The sequence below is a fragment of the Homo sapiens genome, chromosome 8, assembly GCF_000001405.40.
Source record: "Homo sapiens chromosome 8, GRCh38.p14 Primary Assembly".
In the NCBI taxonomy this organism is placed as follows: Eukaryota; Metazoa; Chordata; class Mammalia; order Primates; family Hominidae; genus Homo; species Homo sapiens.
Genome location: NC_000008.11, coordinates 104,050,533 through 104,072,651, shown reverse-complemented (window position 1 = coordinate 104,072,651; position 22,119 = coordinate 104,050,533). Strand labels below are relative to the sequence as shown.

The 22,119-nt window shown below is 34.1% G+C and overlaps 1 protein-coding gene across 64 annotated transcripts in view; it reads right to left on the bottom strand.

The window, feature by feature from the left end:
* The window catches only part of RIMS2 (regulating synaptic membrane exocytosis 2), a 755,485-nt gene that overhangs the window by 183,443 nt on the left and 549,923 nt on the right, over positions 1-22,119 (bottom strand). For 40 of the 64 annotated variants that reach the window (NR_145711.2, XM_017014015.3, XM_017014010.3 and 37 more), the window contains one exon: positions 4,040-4,140. The exons of the other annotated variants lie outside the window; for them this stretch is intronic. Coding sequence is in view for 39 of the 40 variants with exons in the window: in XM_017014015.3 (XP_016869504.1) it covers positions 4,040-4,140 (101 nt within the window). In the remaining variant the exon portion in view is untranslated. The remainder of the gene's footprint in view (positions 1-4,039; positions 4,141-22,119) is intronic. 64 annotated transcript variants of the gene reach the window in all.

The following is a 22,119-nucleotide window of genomic DNA, read 5'->3' as shown; positions in this document are numbered from 1 at the left end:
AGGCTAACAATTAGATTCCACACAGGGCTTCACAATTGTGTCACTGGAATTTCAGGAATACAGCTCAGGAGACAGCATATGCTTCATATGTCTGAGGCTTTGGATTTCATCACAGTTATGTCAAATTTGAAAAACTAAATTAGCCCAAGTAATACTTTCCATGACTTAGTGGCTATGTGGACCTGGATAGATTACATAACCTTTCTATATCTTAGTTCCCTTATTTGTTAAATGATTTTCTTCAGCAACTAGATCTAATGTTAAAACACATAGCTCAGTAGGAGGCTCTATAACTTGCATTTGTTATCAAAATAAAAAGTAAAGAATGTAAATATAAGCTAAATAGCCCTCATCAAAAAAGAGAGAAATGATGTTGAAAATTTTAATCTAAGGAATTAATTGAAAATTAATGTAACTTAATATATATATGTCTGAAGAAGATTCCTCTGTAACTTTCTCTTTGACATATCAGAGGAAGATGAACCTCAGATGATGGGGAGATAGGTGATCCAGCAAAGATAGTTCCACATCAAGAAATGCTTTGTTGTGGTACAAAATAGGGTTGTATTTTGGAACCCCTTAAAAAGTTGTACTTAAGAGACTTGATTATATTTTGAGGTAAGCTGCCTGCATAATCCTGGCAATAGAAAACAGAGTGATAAGTATTCTACATTCAGTAGGATTTGTCAGACATTATTAAAGGCCTTATAAAGATGTCAGATCATTTATTCTCAAAATGTCTCCATTTTCTTGAAGACATCATTCACCTCTGGCTTCTAGTTGAAACCCTAATTGAGGAAGTCAACTCAATTATCTAAAGGATAATTTTACAATAGTTCTTCACCTTAGAGCAGTAATTCTCAAACTTTAGTCTACATCAGAATCATCTGATAGACTTGTTAAAACACAGGGACCCGGCCGGGCGTGGTGGCTCATGCCTGTAATCCCAGCACTTTGGGAGGCCAAGGCGGGCAGATCACGAGGTCAGTAGATTGAGACCATCCTGGCTAACACGGTGAAACCCCGTCTCTACTAAAATAATATAAAAAATTGGCTGGGCATGGTGGCGCGTGCCTGTAGTCCCAGCTACTCAGGAGGCTGAGGCAGGAGAATCACTTGAACCCAGGAGGCGGAGGTTGCAGTGAGCTGATATGGTGCCACTGCACTCCAGCCTGGGTGACAGAGCAAGACTCTGTCTCAAAAACAAACAAACAAACACCACAGGGACCCCAACTCCAGAGTTTTTATTCCATTGGTCTGAAGGGGCCCCAGACAATTGCATTTCTAAAAGTCTCCAAGTGATGCTGATGTTGCTGATCTACTGCCTTAGAGAATATCTAGGAAATTATAATGCTTAGTACAATTAATTTTTACCAATATTTATTTTTTCCCAACTTAAAATGATTGCTGTCAAAGATATAAAACTTTGAAGCCTTAAGCATTCATTTATTCATGAATCGAAGTAAAATCAAAATTAGAAAAGAAATCCCAGCTATGCCTATAGTATTCCTTTGGTCCATCCAATAAATTTCTGTCAGGTTTCTATAACAAGAATCATTGCTATTGCTTCTAAGAAACTTGTCTTTATTGTATGAGCAATGTAAATCATATAACTGATCAAGTTTCCCTTTCTGCCTTTGCTGCTTGTTAAGAAGCTCAGTGTTGACATATAGCCCACATGTAATGGGTATGTGGGATCTTACACTTACTTGCTGCTTGTTAGGAAGCTCAGGGTTGACATTGCCCACATGTAGTGGGTATGTAGGATCTTAGACTATACATTTTTTTCACAGACTTTACTTCTGGAGTTACCTTGTTTTATCGTGACTTTATTTTCTCTTGATCTTTTCTTCACTGACAATATTATTGAGACTATATAAGTATTTTTATAAATCATCTACATTCCTTCCTGAAGTATAGTAAAATATAAACCAACAAATTTATGTTATCTGAAGACACATTTACAAAAAATTTAGTATCTTATTTTATCAGGACTTTATGCTTTGGCCTCTGGATTATACAAGGTGAACAGATGAGAGACTACAGCATAAAAAAACCACAAAAGGTCAGGTGTGTCTATTTAGTTGTAGGCAGAAATACAAAACAAACAAATGAAAAACACAGATATCATTTCTGATATCCAACTCAAATAGTTAGGAATGTTCTAAAATATTATAGCATTATAGAATTATTTGCTACAAAATTTACTATACCTGTTTGAAGTTATTCATATTTTCATTTTAGTGAAAAAGTTCTAGAAATTTAGAACCTACTGAGTAAAGCCAAGGCTATTTTAATTTGTCTTAAATTTACTTTTGTCTGGCTTTAGGCCTGTGACATTTCCAGTATATCAGAATTCTGTGATAAATAATTTTGTATGCACCATGTTGGTAATAATGTAATCTGGGGAAGAGACTGGTAGTTTAGAAGTAGATGCTGATGTTAAGAATCTCTGCCTTCTCTATGTTGTCTTATTGAAGAAGCTAGAAACTGGTACATATGTACATACCTGCTACTTATGTATACCCAACATAGCCACTTATGCTTTACTTAATTAGTTCTTGAGGTTATGAAGGGATGTAATGTAATAGAAACTGCAGATTAAGTATGTAAGGATAAAACAGGCCTAACTTTCAAAAAATCCAGATTGCTTTTCTCTATTACACGGAGACCACAAATATTACAACTATAATGATTCAATTACTAAGTCATAACAGCATATAACAGCTACATGTTATGAGTAAATTTTGCTATTTTAATTCTTTTATTAAATCTTCAATAGCTATATCAGAACAAAGTATTTTCATGACTTTGACCACGAATAATATCAAGCAACTAAAAATGTCTTGAATATAAAAAGGTAATGGAGTACAAGAACAATGAAATAGGCCGGGCGCAGTGGCTCACGCTTGTAATCCCAGCACTTTGGGCTGAGGCAGGCGGATCGCCAGGTCAGGAGTTTGAGACCAGCCTGGCCAACAATAGTGAAACCTCGTCTCTCCTAAAAATACAAAAATTAGCTGGGCATGGTGGCGCATGTCTGTAGCCCCAGGTACTTGGCAGGCTGAGGCAGGAGAATCGCTTGAACCCGGGAGGCGGAGGTTGCAGTGAGCCAAGATTGCACCACTGCACTCCAGTCTGGGCAACAGAGTGAGACTCCATCTCAAAAAAAAAAAAAAAAAAAAAAAGAACAATTAATTAATACTTTATTTCCTCCCTTGGTAGACCTCATACTTCAACTTATTCCCAAAAAGTAGTTAAAAAAGATTCATACCAAAAGACTTTTGAACCTCTAACAGCACTTCGTGAATATGTACAGAAGCTCTTTGCTTCATGACGGGCTTATGTCCCAATGAACCCACTGTAAGTTGAAAATGCATTTAATACATCTTCTGAACATCACAGCTTAGCTTAGCCTACCTCAAACATGTTTAGAACACTTAACATTTGCCTATAGTTGGGCAAAATCATCTAACTGAAAGCCTATTTTATAATAAAGTATGGAATAGCTCATGTAATTTATTGAATACTGAAAGTGAAAAACAGAATGGTTGTATTAGTACTTGATATATGGCTTCTACTGAATGTGTATTGCTTTTACACTACCCTAAAGTCAAAAACTTGTAAGTTGATCCACTATAAGGCAGGCACCATTTGTATTTTGTTCCAATAATTCAGTAATAAACCAGATTCCATTAAAATACTATAAAATGGGAAAAAATCTATATGAAAGAAAACCATAAGATCATTTAAGTTCTTAAACATTTTTGAGGGGCTATAGATTTTACAAAATGAAAAACTGTAAAAGATTTGTCCTTCAGATGTTTAATCTTCTGTATTTTATAATAGTTTTTTTAAGTAAGGCAAATTCTATTGCTAAGAGCGGTATACAAACACATAAATTTTAGCACTTAATAATATCATGGGGCCATGGCATTATATGTTTGTGTCTGACTAATCTGCATTTAGTAGTTTAAAAGAATCTAACTGTTTCATATGATTGATTATTTTACAACTTTTAAAAAGAAAAATGTCTTGCCTTCGAATGGTAATCTTGTTCCAGTCTGGGATCTGATCCGGCTACCTGTTTGTATTTGTTAATTTTCATTTGGCGATTTCTCTCCTCTATATCCATAGTACCTATCGAGTAGAAAAAAACCCATAAAATTAATGTTCAGTTCTTATTTCTGAGTCCGACTTACAGGATGTATAAACGAAGAAAAGCCAGGCTGGTATATTACTTTCACTCAATGTAGCATGTACAAATTAAATGTCATATTATTTTACAGATTTATTTAAAGTATACAATTTCATAAGTAAAAACATGATGTTAAATATGTAAAATAATTTCAATCTGAATAAAATATAAATAAGTTTAAAGAGAAGATAACAAATCTTCATTAGATAGAAAACAATTTCTGGTATGTGTATGTCCAGAATACATTTGACTGCACAGAAATTTGACAATAATAATATCATGTGAACTCTGACTTTTAATTCATCATGATTTATTTATAGGTATTAAAGTTATAAGTTGCTTTCAAATACAATTTTAGAACTGCATTTAGAAACTGTTATCATAAAATTAGGCTATGCATTGAAGCAGTTTGCCCCAGTATATGTGTGAATCCAATTATCAGAAACTTTTGAATTTGAATTTTCTAGAACTAGGATCAACAAAGAGGTTCTTGTAATAATACTGCTGATAGCATACCATGCCAGTAAAGGCACAAAGTATGACTGAGATCAATTTTATAAAAAAAATTAGAATATAGAGTTAAGAAAGCAAGACGGTAAGCCTCTTTCAAAAAGACATTAATGCCCTCTACAACAGGTGCTACCTAAAAGACATCAGTTGTAAATATTCAGAAGGCCTTCAAAAATTTGGGTTAGAACAAGAACTAAATTCAGTTAGCAAATCCTAGAAAACATGAAAAAGCATTTTGGAAGTATATTTATGGGGCAGGCACAGTGGCTCATGCCTGTAATCCCAACACTTTGGGGGGCTGAAGCAGGAGGATTGCTTGAGACCAGGAGTTCGAGACCATCCTGGGCAATATAGCATGACCCCGTCTCCACAACAACAACAACAAATTAGCCAGGTGTGGTGACACATGCTTATAGTCCCAGCATCCTGGGAGGCTGAGGCTGGATTTGAGACCAGGAGTTGGGAGGCTGCAGTGAGCTATGATCATACCACTGCACTACAGGTTGGCCAATACAGTGAGATCCCATCTCAAAAAAAGTACATTTGTCATTTTTAAAGGAAAGTTATAGGAATATTCCATTTCTCAGAAATATATATAATTTAAAAATCTCGATCATATACTACAAATCTACATACTGGGAAAAATGAGCTTAGTGAACTCAACTGGATATCCATAATAAAATGTCAGTAAATTCACACAGTGTGTTTAGGTAGGAATGTCAACATACACACACATACCCCTTGCTTAAGATCATGACTTTAAAACTGTGGTAAAGACAGCTAGACGTAAGCGTGCCTATTAAAAAATAGGTATTTTAATACTTACCTGATTTTTAAAATGGATTAAAGGAAAAGGGGATTAAAAAGGTACCAGTATAACTAGAAGTTATGGTATCCCCTTCTGAGCCAATATTTTTAAATTTTTAATGTTTTAATTTTTTAGTATTATTCTCTGCCCTGCAAAAATCTCATTGCATATTAGATAGTTCTTGTTAGTAACAAATTTTAAAGGAAAATCGTTTAATGAAAATAATATGAAAAGGGAAGAAAATGTTTCAAAAGGAAAATCTTAGATAAATATACAAAAAACTTATACTATATTACCTCTAAATACCAGAAAATTTAAATCAACTATTCAATAAAGTGAGACAATTTCTTCCTTATAATAGTCACATGTTAATAATGATTTGACTAACTGACTCTGAGTCAAATTTGAAAGTGAGGAATATTAATGCTAGGTTAATATAATTTGAATGACATATAAAACCAGGTGAGTGCCTCCATGATGTAAATGTGAAATATAGTCAAGTACAAATACCTATTAGTCTATTAAAATACAACTTTGGAATTCTTTGTACTTCAAAAGATATTTTCAGGTAAACATGTCTTCTCCAAAGGCAAGCCAATAAAAAAATGAGCCCAACATTACAAAATGATGGGTCCTAAAAGAATATTAGCTATAAGGTGTGTTTGGAAAGTTTCTCAAAAAGTTCCATCTTGATATAATATAAATAGCACCAATTGACAAGTTTAAACACACACACACACATATATAGATATAAATATGTAGTGATAAATATATACGTAGAAACAGGTATATACATTTTGCAATATTTAGACTATTTTCTGGATGGCAACATCCTAGGAAAGCTATATTAAAATTCTTTCTGATTACTAGGTAGTAATGTGAATAACACTGGCAGTAGTTGGCAAACTTTTTCTGTAAAGGGCCCAATAACAAATATTGCAGACTTTGTGAGCCATATGGAAACTGTTACTCTGCCACAACTCTGCCACCATAGCATGGAAGCAACTGCAGACAATGCATATATAATAAGTGTGGCTTTATTCCAATAAAACTTTGTTTACAAAACAGGCAGTGAGTCAGATTTGCTCTCTGGCATATTGGTTTAACAGTGCTTGCAAAAGTGTCTTTCTCTTTAGAAATGGTTTAAAAATTAGGTAGAATCAGATTTATGCAATATAACTTTTACTTAACAGACCACTGGCAGATCTAAGGAGAATATTAATCTGTATTTGCTGGATAAACAAAGCAAGATGCAAATAGAGCTTTCTAACCATTTAAATATGTCATCAATTAAATTACAATCTCAAACAAATCTCTCATCTCCAGACCCAATCATCATCTATAGACAGTTCCCAAATTGGAAAATTCTTTATTAGAGTCTTAACCAATGAAATCTCAAACGACTATTTCAGTCAGCAAACTTGAGTAAATATCCTTTTACCTTATAACTTCAAATCCTCCTAGAAGAATAACCCTTGGGACAAACAGTAACCAAACAGGTCTCCCTACCCAAAAATTATTTGGTTCATATGAAGTCTTCTGTTCCTTTTCTATATTTGTAGAAACTATTCCTAAAAAGAAAACACTCCATGTAGAATAATAACCTTAGAGAGAAAAGTCTCCTATAGATAAAGTGATCCAGCGTAGAGGATTCTTCACCAGCAAGGTGATTTTTCTTTGCTGGTCCTTTGCTCTATCTAAGAAAAATAATCCAGTAATAATATTTTTATTTCAACAAAACTTAGTCTTTTTTTTCTTCCTTGGAATGAAAAGCAATTTAGAGAAATCAATAAAATAGAAGGGCTGTTCACTAGTTGAGGAAAGGATCACATAATTCCTAAGCTTCGTTTCAGCTCTGATATCCTATATACACTCTATAAAAGGAAAATAAATGAAAGTGATAAATTGAATGAATTTTGTTCAATTTCCTCTCTCTTTCTCTCAGATTGACAGTAAAAATCTGTATATACAAGGCCCTCAAAAACCTGCAATAAAGAATAACCACTTGACCACAGAACACTTACCTTTTTTCTCCATCTGTTTATATATTGTTGAAATAATTTCAAACTTTCCAAAATAAAAAGTTTGAAAAATGACGGTTTATAGGTTTAGAGAGTAAGTTTATCTAGGAATCTCTAAGATTAATTTTCTTATATGTGATGAACTATGTTTATTTCAGAAGACTTCTTAGTGGTTTGATATGGTTTTATAATTCAAGTATGCTTAAAAAATTAGGGTCATTATATCTTAGAAATCAAATCAAATATCAAAACATTTTCAAATTGTAAAAAAATTTGATTGAGATGGTAATGGGACAACCCAATTTCTTTGACAAATACATTTACAATGATAGTTTTTACATGTTTGTAAATATATATTAATGTGATAATCTGTTAATGTATAATGTATTAAACTAATATTCAAGTTATCTCAAATTCTTTTTTGTATAAGTAAATTATTAACTAAATAGAGAAAATATAATTTGTTTCATAAATATCTTGTTTCATAAATGCTAGAGTTGTTTTAAATTATGGTGGAAATGGCCCTCTGTTTTTTGATATGTATATATACAAATACTCCTAAATTCCATAAATGTTAGCATTCCTACTAAATGACATTTTAAACAAAACTTTTCTTCCTTTCCCTTAATTTATAATAATCCCCTTCCTTAAATTACACAAGACCTTTATTCTACTTTAGAAATTTTAAGGCAGAGCACAAAAAAGACAGCATATGTGGATGTTCAGGAATTAATAAATAGCTCAAAATATTCATTTTTTTAAATTGGAAATTTCTGGCCCATTTCAGCCACTGACGAAAAAAAATCCAATATTTTGTTGCTCTTGATTTAACTTATTTCCTTAAATCATATCACATATTCTGTAGCTATTTATTTTGGTGTAAGTCTTTAAAGAGATTTACTTCTTCTTAAATAAAAAATTAATTCTATAGTTACTTTGAACTTTAAAAAGCCTATTTAGTGTGCCCAGAAAGTTAAAGTTATATTGATAAAGCTGCTATGACATCCAATATAAAAAAAGTTAACTTCTAGATGAATTTTTTTAACCAAAGATATAGTTGAATATGGTCACAATAGCTGGCAGCCAGCTAGTGGTTGTTTAGGTTTTACTACACGCATGTACTACAAAGATCATCGATATACCTTCAGTGATTTCTGTAGTATGCAAACAGTAATCGTTTTAAGTTTGCTTTTCCAAACACACACACACTCCTGACACAAAGACAGAGAGAGAGACTGAAAGAGCATGAGCATGCCCCTGGAGTCCTAGAGCAATTTCATAACCCAAACTTCTTTGAAGTAGGGGCACAGGTTTAGCAGTGACACAATCCACAAGGAAGCTGAACAGCGACCAGAATATGGCAGTATTGTTGACTCAGTCATCCATCTTGTAGTCTTAAACAAAATGCTCAAATCTGAGGATCTTACAAGGGAAAACTCTTAAGCCCAATATGCAAACTCAAGAAAGAACCCCAAACTTCAGGAGAAAATTAGAAATTTGCAATTATAGACATCTTGGAAGTCAGAAATTGCATTGATTAGTACTTCAAATTCTTGTGGGTAATTTAATTACTTAAAAACATTCCCTCTATTCCTTACCCCATCTCTTCTATTTTTATATAAATATTCAACCTCAGGTTAAAAAAATCTTTCCTTTAATTGAGCTAAAGAATTGCACTAACTAGCTGTTTCATGAAGGTTTCTGATAAACAGTCATATGTGGAGTTGTTTTTGATTATTGTATGTCTTTACAAAACTAAGGACTGCCTTGAAATAATTTGAGGTTAGAAAACAATTTTTATTGTTTATATTTTTTAACATAACAACATATCAAGAACTTGTGGGATGATCATTAAACATTTGCACTTTATAATTAAACTTATTCTAAATAGTATTCTTTTAATAAGTACAAATTATATTTGTTTTTCAGTTAAATTTAAGAATTAAAGGTATTGGTGTAAATATTAAGTTGTAATCAGTAGTGAAGGATTCCCAAATGAAAAATGTTTTCTGTTGAAATTATCCAAATAATTGATAACAAAATATAAAAAGTATAGTTTTAATACATCTAACTGATTTTTTAAAAGTAGAGTGATAAATATAATCTGAACATAAATCAAAATATTATCTGAGGCTTTTCTTCTAATTGAAGCTAAAGAAGTATATTACTTATATAAAAGAGACATATTTTAAAAAATTTTAAAGTTAATTAATTTAAACCATTGAGAAAAAGTAATTTTGATAACTATCTTATTACATTTTATGAACTTTTAAGAAAATACAAACAATGTGGAATAGACACAAAAGAAGATAAAGAAAATAATGAGAATGACAGAAATAACATATTTAAAATGAACAAAACTAAAAAAGCCAAATTGTGGACTCTCAATGTTAAATTCACCATTTAAGTATGTATCAAATGAAGTGCAGTGAATAAAAACGTATCATCAGTGTATACAGCTATTGGCTCACCTAAAGGTGGCAATTACAGATGAGAAAACATGGCTACATATATTTATTTTCTAGATTCAATGAGATATACTATAAAAAGAACAATTTCTTTCAACAGAGAACTAAGTATAGAAATTGCTAATATGTCTCATGAGATAAGAATGTGTAATATTTTCTCATAACTGTATTTTAAAAGGTAGTGCCACTCAAGAAGAAAATAAAGTACTTAATTTTAATGAATTTTTTTAAAATTTTTTTGAGATGGAGTTTTGCTCTGTTGCCAGGCTGGCTGGAGTGAAGTGGTGCAATCTCGGCTCACCGCAAACTCTGCCTCCTGGGTTGAAGCAATTCTCCTGCCTCAGCCTACCGAGTAGCTGGGATTACAGACTTGCACCACCACGCCCAGCTAATTGTTGTATTTTTTGTAGAGACAGGAGTTCACCATGTTGGCCAGGATGGTCTTGATCTCTTGACCTCATGATCTGCCCGCCTCAGCCTCCCAAAGTGCTGAGATTACAGGCGAGAGCCACTGCGCCTGACCAATTTTAATGAATATTTTAATTGTTCTTTCAATATCTAAAAATTGTGAAAAAATTACTTCAAAATATAACTTATTGGCATTGTATATGAAAAAAACTTAAAAATGATCATATTTTTGATCATTTTGATCAAATTTTTGACCACATTTGAACATATTTAGATCATTTGATTTTTGACCCTGAAATTTCACCTCCCAGGAGCTTTCCTAAAGAAATGTCAACGTGCAAAGATGTGTACACAAGTATATTAATCATACCATTGTTTGATAATTGTAAACACCTTGGGAAAAAAATTCCTAAAGGTGCAAAACAGGTAATTATCTAATTGCATAATGGTATATCTATAGAATACAATGCATCCATAAAAAATGATGAGGATGTTGTACATATGTGTTCATATACTATAAATATATTGCAATTAGTAATTATAAAACAGATTAAACAGTAAAAATAGTAGCATAGCTTAGAACAATTTTAAATATAAATATATATTTATAAAAATATATATACATATAAATTATAAATAAGACAGAGAACAAAAAAGATTTGAAGACTGATACACCAGAATGTTAGCAATTATTACTGGGTATTGAAAGTATGTATAAATGCTATTTGATTTCTTATTTGGGTTAATACATGATTTATAAATTTTACACAACTGCATGTTACTTTTATAAGAAGAAAAGTGTAATTAAAAAATACAAGATACACGACTTGCTTTATGAATCTGGGGTTGCAATCCTAATCTCCTATAAAACAGACTTTAAACCAACAAAGATCAAAAGAGACAAAGAAAGCCATTACATAATGGTAAAGGGATCAATTCAACAAGAAGAGCTAACTATCCTACATATATATGTACCCAATACAGGAGCACCCAGATTCATAAAGCAAGTCCTGAGTGACCTACAAAGAGACTTAGACTCCCACACAATAATAACGGCAGACTTTAAACACCCTACTGTCAACATTAGACAGATCAACGAGACAGAAAGTTAACAAGGATATCCAGGAATTGAACTCAGCTCTGCACCAAGTGGACCTAATAGACATCTACAGAACTCTCCACACCAAATCAACGGAATATACATTTTTTTCAGCACCACACTGCACCTATTCCAAAATTGACCACATAGTTGGAAGTAAAGCTCTCCTCAGCAAATGTAAAAGAACAGAGATTATAACAAACTGTCTCTCAGACCACAGTGCAATCAAACTAGAACTCAGGATTAAGAAACTCACTCAAAACCGCTCAACTACATGGAAACTGAACAACCTGCTCCTGAATGACTACTGGGTACATAACTAAATGAAGGCAGAAATAAAGATGTTCTTTGAAACCAGCGAGAACAAAGACACAACATACCACAATCTCTGGGACACATTCAAAGCAGTGTGTAGAGGGAAATTTATAGCACTAAATGCCCATAATAGAAAGCAGGAAAGATCCAAAACTGACATCCTAACATCACAATTAAAAGAACTAGAAAAGCAAGAGCAAACACATTCAAAAGCTAGCAGAAGGCAAGAAATAACTAAAATCAGAGCAGAACTGAAGGAAATAGAGACACAAAAAACCCTTCAAAAAATTAATGAATCCAGGAGCTGGTTTTTTGAAAGGATCAACAAAATTGATAGACTGCTAGCAAGACTAATAAAGAAGAAAAGAGAGAAGAATCAAATAGACGCAATAAAAATGATAAAGGGGATATCACCACCGATCCCACAGAAATACAAACTACCATCAGAGAATACTACAAACAACTCTATGCAAATAAACTAGAAAATCTAGAAGAAATGGATAAATTCCTCGACACATACACTCTCCCAAGACTAAACCAGGAAGAAGTTGAATCTCTGAATAGACCAATAACAGGCTCTGAAATTGTGGCAATAATCAATAGCTTACCAACCAAAAAGAGTCCAGGACCAGATGGATTCACAGCCGAATTCTACCAGAGGTACAAGGAGGAACTGATACCATTCCTTCTGAAACTATTCCAATCAATAGAAAAAGAGGGAATCCTCCCTAACTCATTTTATGAGGCTGGCATCATCCTGATACCAAAGCCGGGCAGAGACACAACCAAAAAAGAGAATTTTAGACCAATATCCTTGATGAACATTGATGCAAAAATCCTCAATAAAATACTGGCAAAACGAATCCAGCAGCACATCAAAAAGCTTATCCACCATGACCAAGTGGGATTCATCCCTGGGATGCAAGGCTGGTTCAATATACGCAAATCAATAAATGTAATCCAGCATATAAACAGAACAAAAGACAAAAACCACATGATTATTTCAATAGATGCAGAAAAGGCCTTTGACAAAATTCAACAACCCTTCATGCTAAAAACTCTCAATAAATTAGGTATTGATGGGACGTATCTCAAAATAAGAAGAGCTATCTATGACAAACCCACAGCCAATATCATACTGAATGGGCAAAAACTGGAAGCATTCCCTTTGAAAACTGGCACAAGACAGGGATGCCCTCTCTCACCACTCCTATTCAACATAGTGTTGGAAGTTCTGGCCAGGGCAATTAGGCAGGAGAAGGAAATAAAGGGTATTCAATTAGGAAAAGAGGAAGTCAAATTGTCCCTGTTTGCAGATGACATGATTGTATATCTAGAAAACCCCATTGTCTCAGCCCAAAATCTCCTTAAGCTGGTAAGCAACTTCAGCAAAGTCTCAGGATACAAAATCAATGTACAAAAATCACAAGCATTCTTACGCACCAATAACAGACAAACAGAGAGCCAAATCATGAGTGAACTCCCATTCACAATTGCTTCAAAGAGAATAAAATACCTAGGAATCCAACTTACAAGGGATGTGAAGGACCTCTTCAAGGAGAACTACAAACCACTGCTCAAGGAAATAAAAGAGGATACAAAGAAATGGAAGAACATTCCATGCTCATGGGTAGGAAGAATCAATATCATGAAAATGGCCATACTGCCCAAGGTAATTTATAGATTCAATGCCATCCCCATCAAGCTACCAATGCCTTTCTTCACAGAATTGGAAAAAACTACTTTAAAGTTCATATGGAACCAAAAAAGAGCCCACATCACCAAGTCAATCCTAAGCCAAAAGAACAAAGCTGGAGGCATCACGTTACCTGACTTCAAACTATACTACAAGGCTACAGTAACCAAAACAGCATGGTACTGATACCAAAACAGAGATATAGACCAATGCAACAGAACAGAGCCCTCAGAAATAACGCCGCATATCTACAAATATCTGATCTTTGGCAAACCTGAGAAAAACAAGCAATGGGGAAAGGATTCCCTATTTAATAAATGGTGCTGGGAAAATTGGCTAGCCATACGTAGAAAGCTGAAACTGGATCCCTTCCTTACGCCTTATACAAAAATTAATTCAAGATGGATTAAAGACTTAAATGTTAGACCTAAAACCATAAAAACCTTAGAAGAAAACCTACGCATTACCATTCAGGACACAGGCATGGGCAAGGACTTCATGTCTAAAACACCAAAAGCAATGGCAACAAAAGCCAAAATTGACAAATGGGATCTAATTAAACTAAAGAGCTTCTGCACAGCAAAAGAAACTACCATCAGAGTGAACAGGCAACCTACAACATGGGAGAAAATTTTTGCAACCTACTCATCTGACAAAGGCTAATATCCAGAATCTACAATGAACTCAAACAAATTTACAAGAAAAAAACAAACAACCCCATCAAAAAGTGGGCGAAGGATATGAACAGACACTTCTCAAAAGAAGACATTTATGCAGCCAAAAGACACATGAAAAAATGCTCATCATCACTGGCCATCAGAGAAATGCAAATCAAAACCACAATGAGATACCATCTCACACCAGTTAGAATGGCAATCATTAAAAAGTCAGGAAACAACAGGTGCTGGAGAGGATGTGGAGAATTAGGAACACTTTTACACTGTTGGTGGGACTGTAAACTAGTTCAACCATTGTGGAAGTCAGTGTGGCGATTCCTCAGGGATCTAGAACTAGAAATACCATTTGACCCAGCCATCCCATTACTGGGTATATACCCAAAGGACTATAAATCATGCTGCTATAAAGACACATGCACACATATGTTTATTGCGGCACCATTCACAATAGCAAAGATGTGGAACCAACCCAAATGTCCAACAACGATAGACTGGATTAAAAAAATGTGGCACATATACACCATGGAATACTATGCAGCCATAAAAAATGATGAGTTCATGTCCTTTGTAGGGACATGGATGAAATTGGAAATCATCATTCTCAGTAAACTATCGCAAGGACAAAAAACCAAACACCGTATGTTCTCACTCATAGGTGGGAATTGAACAATGAGAACACATGGACACAGGAAGGGGAACATCACACTCTGGGGACTGTTGTGGGGTGGGGGGAGGGGGAAGAGATAGCATTAGGAGATATACCTAATGCTAAATGACGAGTTAATGGGTGCAGCACACCAGCATGGCACATGTATACATATGTAACTAACCTGCACATTGTGCACATGTACCCTAAAACTTAAAGTATAATAATAATAAAATAAAATAAAATAAAAGAAGAAACTGATATCTAAACTATTTTGGATATAAGTTGATTAGGAGGGATCTAGTAATCTAAGAAAATAATATGTGTTTGTTTTGTTTTTGATCTCTAAATTCAGTGAACAGACTAACTGAAATTTTATTATTCAGAGGACCTAGATTTTAGCATTATTTTAGGTTTCGATATTAAAAATCAGGATATAGCCGTGTGAGATGGCTCACACCTGTAATCACAGCACTTTGAGAGGCTGAGGCGGGAGGACTGCTTGAGCCCAGGAGTTTGCAAATAGCCTAGGCAACAAAGTGAGAACCTCTTCTCAACAAAAAATAAAAAATTTAGCTGGGGGCGGTAGCATGTGCCTGTGGTCCCATATGCATGGGAAGCTGAGGAAGGAGGATTGCTTGAGCTCAAGAGGTTGAAGCTGCAGTGAGCCATGTTTGCACCACTGCACTCCAGCCTAAGTGACAGAGTGAGACCTTGTCTCAAAAGAAAAAAAAAAAAAAAAGAAAAAGAAAAAGAAAAAAGGATGTACTTGGTCCATAGGGGAAGATTAGGGTTTTATGCCTGCAGAGTACAGTGGAAGTAACCACCACAGAGTTGACGGGACCTTGAAACTGCTCAGATTTGGGGAATGGGTATATTTAGGATACTTAGGATTAAATAAAAACTTTTTTTTCTTTTTAAGACAGGGTGTTGCTCTGTCAGCCAGGCTAGAATGCAGTGGCTCCATCATAGCTCATTATAGAGTTTTTACCTCTCAGGCTTAAGTGATCCTCCTGCCTCAGCCTTGCAAGTAGCTGAGACCACAGGCGTGCATACCACGCTCAGCTGTTTTTATTTTTTATTTTTAGTAGAGACGAGGTATCGCTATGTTTCCCCGGCTGGTCTCAAATTCTTGGGCTCAAGCAATCCTCCCACCTTAGTTTCCCAAAGTGTTGGGATTACAGGCATGAGCCACTGTGCCCAGCTAAAGAAAACCTTAAAAAACAGCACTGGTTGAAAAGATACAAAGAGATAAGACTTGGGTTTTAGTCCTGGCTTCACGAGTCCTGTACCTACAAACATGTCACTTTCTGAGCATAAAATTCTTCATCTATAAAACGAATAGTTTTGTACCAGATACTCTTTATAATTCCATCTGCTACAAAACTCCTTTTTTTTTTTTAAGATGGAGTCTCACTCTGTCACCCAGGCTGGGGTGCAATGGCGTGATCTCGGCTCACTGCAACCTCTGCCTCCTGGGTTCAAGCGATTCTCCTGCCTCAGCCTCCTGAGTAAGTGGGACTACAGACACGAGCCACCATGCCCGGCTAATTTTTTGTATTTTTAGTAGATTCAGGGTTTTACCATGTTAGCCAGGATGGTCTTGATCTCCTGACCTCATGATCTGCCCGCCTTGGCCTCCCAAGGTGCTGGGATTATAGGAATGAGCCACCACGCCTGGCCGGTTAGTTGACTTTGAAGTCAAATGATGTTTAAGTGTTTTTTGTTTTATATTATCATATTTATTTCATTAATATAATGTAAAGTGCTCTTAGAAATTTTTAACATTTGTCCTGGTACTGCATTCATTACATTTCCCTTTACAAAATGTTCGTATGTGTGCAGAGGCAGAGAAGAAAATGGAATAAAGGAAGAAGTGAGGGAAAGACAGAGATAAAGAAAGAGGAAGAGAGGAAGAAAGAGAGGATTAGCCAGAGCCTAGGAGAGACAGACAGGACAAACGAGACACTGACTATATTGAGAAATTCATTAAACTAGGAACTTTGTGCAGGAAAAAGAGTCCCAGACTGCTCTTATGTAGAAGGATCTTTTAGGCTAAAGTGCAAATGCTTCACTATATACATTTCTTTTTTCATAATATACAGTGACAGGTATAGAAGAAAATGTTACTAACCTTCTAGTAACTTAGTTAATTTGTTAGTCACAATTCCTGTATCTTTGAAAAAACAAGATATATTTTGAGGGTAAACTAAATTTTAAAATGAAAATTCCCTCAGAGAAGAAATATAATGGTTATTGAAATTGCTTCTAAGAAAAGGTACAATAATTGTTTATAGAAGATACAAATATCAGCCAAATTCATTGTGTTAATTGACTATTCCCCATTTGTGTTATGGACTTTAGAACATTCTACCTTTTACATGATTGCTAAATACCCACATTAAAGGAGATATTATTAACAGAGTAGCATGTATTATCACCCTGTATATACATCTTATCCTCAACTTTTTATGTTGTCATATGACATAATTATCAAATATCACTGTATTCCATATCTGGGATCTAAATTTATGAACTAAATAAAATTTGTGAACTAAATTTAAATTATATTAACTATGGCATTAAAATGATGATATAGAATATTTTTGAGAGTATTAAAAGTATCTTTTACCCACCATGTCAGGCAGACAAAGAGGCACACAAAAAATGAGAAAAAATTCACAATAGAATCCTATGATAATATGTACATTCTTAAAAGGATCCAAACACAACACATGTGATCATGCCCCCCAAACCTTAATGAAAGTGTGAAATAATGAACCTCACTTTTCTCCTCCTTCAAAAAGAGTGGAATCATAAATGGATTCCTATACAGAGAGAGGAGTGAAATAAGGCAAAATTACTAAATGAAAAGTATTAGTTGTTAGATATATCACTTCATATTTTCAATGATGTTATAAAATATTTACATTTTCTTTATGCTAATAACATGTTGCAAACAACACACATGTCAGATAAGATGATTAAACAGGGTCTGGAAAATTAAATTGTGCAAACCTACAGAGAAAAATAAAATTTTTGATACTTAAAGAAACATCATTAAAATAAATTCTGATTATAAATTGCAAATGTGATGTAAGATTCTAATATAAGAACAGATAAGAAGGATTTGTGAAAGTAATTTCCTCCTTATATCCATGGTGATCAGCCTGGAAAATGATTATACACTTGGGTTATGAATTAAGATAAAATCAGTGAAGCTTATGTAGCAATATTGTGATGAAAACAAGAGCAGCACATTTTAACTTTTGCTACATTTTATCCATTTCGCTAAATTTTTTTTATAAAGTGATATTAACATTTTTAGACAAATTAGGATCACCATTAAATTGAAATAATTATTTTTAATGAAAAAAGGAAATATTTAGATATATGGATTTTAATAGTACTCATGCTTGGACACTAAATTGTATTGCTTTTTCCCAAGATGCTGCCGCTGATTGCTATTGGTCAAGTGTACAAGAATGACTACAGAGAGCAGCTAATGTCATGTAGTGTAACATTACCTTAGAATTCAAAGGAATGTATCCTAAATGTTTCATGAATAGGAAAATCTCATAAAGTGTTTCCATTCAATACTGAGAATAAACAGGAATTAACAATTAGATGGGGTTACTCTCAGATTAAGAAGGATGAGAATTAGATGGAGAGACATCAGGACAGACTAGGAGAAACTGGACCGAGTTTTTATTTTTTTCTTTTTTCTAAATGTAATGTTGGCTCCAGTAACTTTTAACCTTTCAAATGCCCTTGTGTGAAAACTTGTTACATTGAGGATGTTAAATACAGCTGCAAACTAGAGTGAGTTGTTCTCCATGGATGTTAAATATCCCTTTCTGAATTCCTCTCTTATTGCTCTCCTCTTCCCTGACCTCTAGTATTGGTCTCTCATAATATTCTCTGCACAGTGTCCCCATTCTTGGTTTGGCCTTCTCGGCTTTAAAGTTTCTATATCCTTCTCTTTGTCACTGTAAGGCCACCATTTCCTAAGGTTAAGGACATGGGTTCTGGTACAAAGTCATTGCTTTGGTTAAAATTCCAGCTTCAAATGGCTTGGGTAATTTATTTAACTAACCTGTACTTCAATTTTTCAATCTGTAACTAGAAATAAAAATAGTACCGAATACAGTGTTAAACTCAATTACATATTAAAACAATTTATACTAAGTGATTTAATTATCCGAAATATTGACTGCATTTTAAAAGAAGAGTTAAGAAATTTGATTGAGAAAATGCACAATAAAAATTGGTTTTGATCACTGAGTCCTCCTTCCTCAACTACTCTAAAACTTTCCCAATCTCCTTGTCAGAACTAGTTCTTATACTGAATCTCCCAAGAGAAGATATAATATGTGGAATTAACAATCTAGCCATCAATTATTCATTATCATTCCAAGTTTTTTAAGTGGGACCTATTGCAGCTAGAATAAAAACAATGAGTTTTTATATAACTTGAGCATCTGGGTTCATTCAACTGAGCCTTGTATACTTGAGTTATAAAGTAAGAATATCCAAATATAGGGAGCTTCTTACTATATCTCCAATATTGAGTTCAATGCAACATGTTGTGTGGTTTACTGGTGGTTCATTAGCAAGAACTCCCTCTACTTAATTTGTGGTGACTTTAAAGAAAAACCTAATCATTGATTGCTGTAGCTAAATGGATATTGTAAAACATATCTCTCAAAGGTTACTAGAAAAACCCTATTTGCCAAATCAACTGATCATTCCTCAGCACCATTCTATTGGACCTTACTTCAGCATTTGCTAAAATTATTACACTGTCCTTGACATTTTATTCAACTGTTTGGCCCTGTACTTTTCTCTCAGTTCACTCTTTATCAAGCTACTTTGCCGGCTCATCTTTCTCAGCTGATTTTTCAAATTTATGCATTTCCCAAAGTGTTGCTATAGCTTTCCGCTTTATTCTATCCTTGAGTGTTTTTTTATTTAATTCCATATCTTCAATGTCCCATCAATGCTGAAGGCTCTATCCTTCAGCTTCTACCTTTCCTGTAAGCTCTAAGACGCACATTTCCAGTTGTCTCCTAGTCATCCCCAAGTGGGCCCCCTTAGCACCTAAAACCCAGCTTGCCCCAAACAAATTAAAATTATATCTCCTATCTATTCTTCTCCTATAATCATTATCAATGAATATCTACAATACCTAGAATCTATTTCTTTGTTAACTGTCTTGCCTATTCTTGGACACTATGTTAGCCCTAAATATCTCTTGATCTTTTTTGGTTTCTTGCCCACTGCTTTAGATTCAAAGCTTTAGTCCCTTCTTTGATTTCTAGCTAAACCCCTTAGTCATCTTGTCCTTTCACTTTGAGTTCTGAAGCTGCAGGCTAACCCCACCCATGACCATGCCCCTGTGGACCCCTATCTTGGGAGGGGATCTTAGTTGCTTGGGATGTGTTAGATTAGGTAAATTATTTTTTCTATTAGCATATTAGAACCATTTGAGTAACATATAAAATCCATTTTAATTTTCTATATTTTCAATAATTTTAAAAGTCAGATTTATTGAGGTATAATTTACATAAAGTAAAATTCACACAACTTAGTACAAAGTTCTGTGACATTTGACAAATGGATTTAGTCATGTAAACTCACCACAATCAATATACAGAGTATTTCTATCACCCTAAAAATTTCCTGATGCTGCTTTGATGTCAATCCTCTTCTTGCTTGCCCAGGTAACCACTGATCATATTTATGTCTAGCTTTTTCTTTTTCTTCAGTAATGTTTTCAGTCTAGAATTTTACTTGCTGAAGGCATAGAAAATGAAATATAACAAAGCTGTAGAGACTACACAGTTAAAATCTATTTTAGAATTCAGTAATACTGTTCTCTGAAAAATTAAATTCTTAAAAAGAATAATACTCTGTATATCCCAGGAATTGTGCTAAGAGCTTTGCATGTATTATGTCTGTCACTTAATCAGCACAACTATATGTGCTAGGACTTATTTTTTTCTCAATTTTACTTATTAGATAATTTACACAAGGTCATATAACTAGTAGGTGGCAGAGATTGACGTGCCCTTCTCCAGAACTTATGATCAAAAATATTGTCATGAAATGAACCTTCTTTCTCTCTCTCACACACACATGCAAAGAGTCAAATTTTATTTCATTCTTTTCTCTTTTTCCAGCATCTTTCCTTCCTTTTGACATCTTCTCCCTTTTCTTTTTGAGCAGTTTCTCCTCTGTCCATTTTTTTTGGTAATATTTCATCTGATTTCCCTATGAACCCAACCTTGGACTATAATATGGTCATTCTTTAATATTTTTACAGATTTCCTTAAATTCTCACCCCTTTACTCTAAACAAGCCTATCAACCTCCTTCATACTCAGCACGATCTATAATCTATAACTATGTTCTTCCCATAAGTTATGCAACATAATGTATTAATCAAATTACTTTACATAGCTTTCTTCATGTCAACTTACCTTATTTTGAAATATATATATGTGTGTGTGAGTGTATATATATACACACACATACATATATATATATATACACACACACTTGTTTTGAGACAGGGTCTTGCTGCATTATCCAGGCTGGAGTGCAGCGCTGCAATTATGGCTCACTGCAGCCTCCAACTCCTAGGCTCAAGACATCCTCCCACTTCAGCCTCCTAAGTAGCAGGGACTACAGGCTTGTGCCACCACACCCAGCTAAGTTTTTAAATATTTTTGTAGAGATGGGGTCTTGCTGTGTTGTCCAGTCTGGTCTCAAACTCCTGGACGCAAGTGATCCTCCCTGCCTTGGACTCCTGAAGTGCTGGGATTACAAGCATGCACTACCACGCATGGCCAATTTACCTTCTTATATATTATGTTTTCATCACAGATATAGAAGTATAGAGCTTTAAATGGGCAAAGAGTAAGGGATTCAAAAAAATCATAAATTCACTATGTTCTAATGAATATTAAGTATTGTTACATGTTAATATTTACTAAATATTTGATCACAAACTTGGCTTATTACAAATGTACTCTTTCATTTCAACTCAGAAAATTTAACAAATATATTTTAATCATAACTACCGTCCAGTGCTACGCTTTACTTATTCATCTTCCTGTAAAACTTAAAGTTTGAAAACTCCCTTATCCTTCACTGATGCTTAAATGCCTGCTTGCAAAAATACTTTATAGCATAAATTATTCTCCTTTTCTAAACTTTAATTCCCTTAGTTTATCTTCTGTTTAATGGTCTTTAGTATGATGTATTTCCTG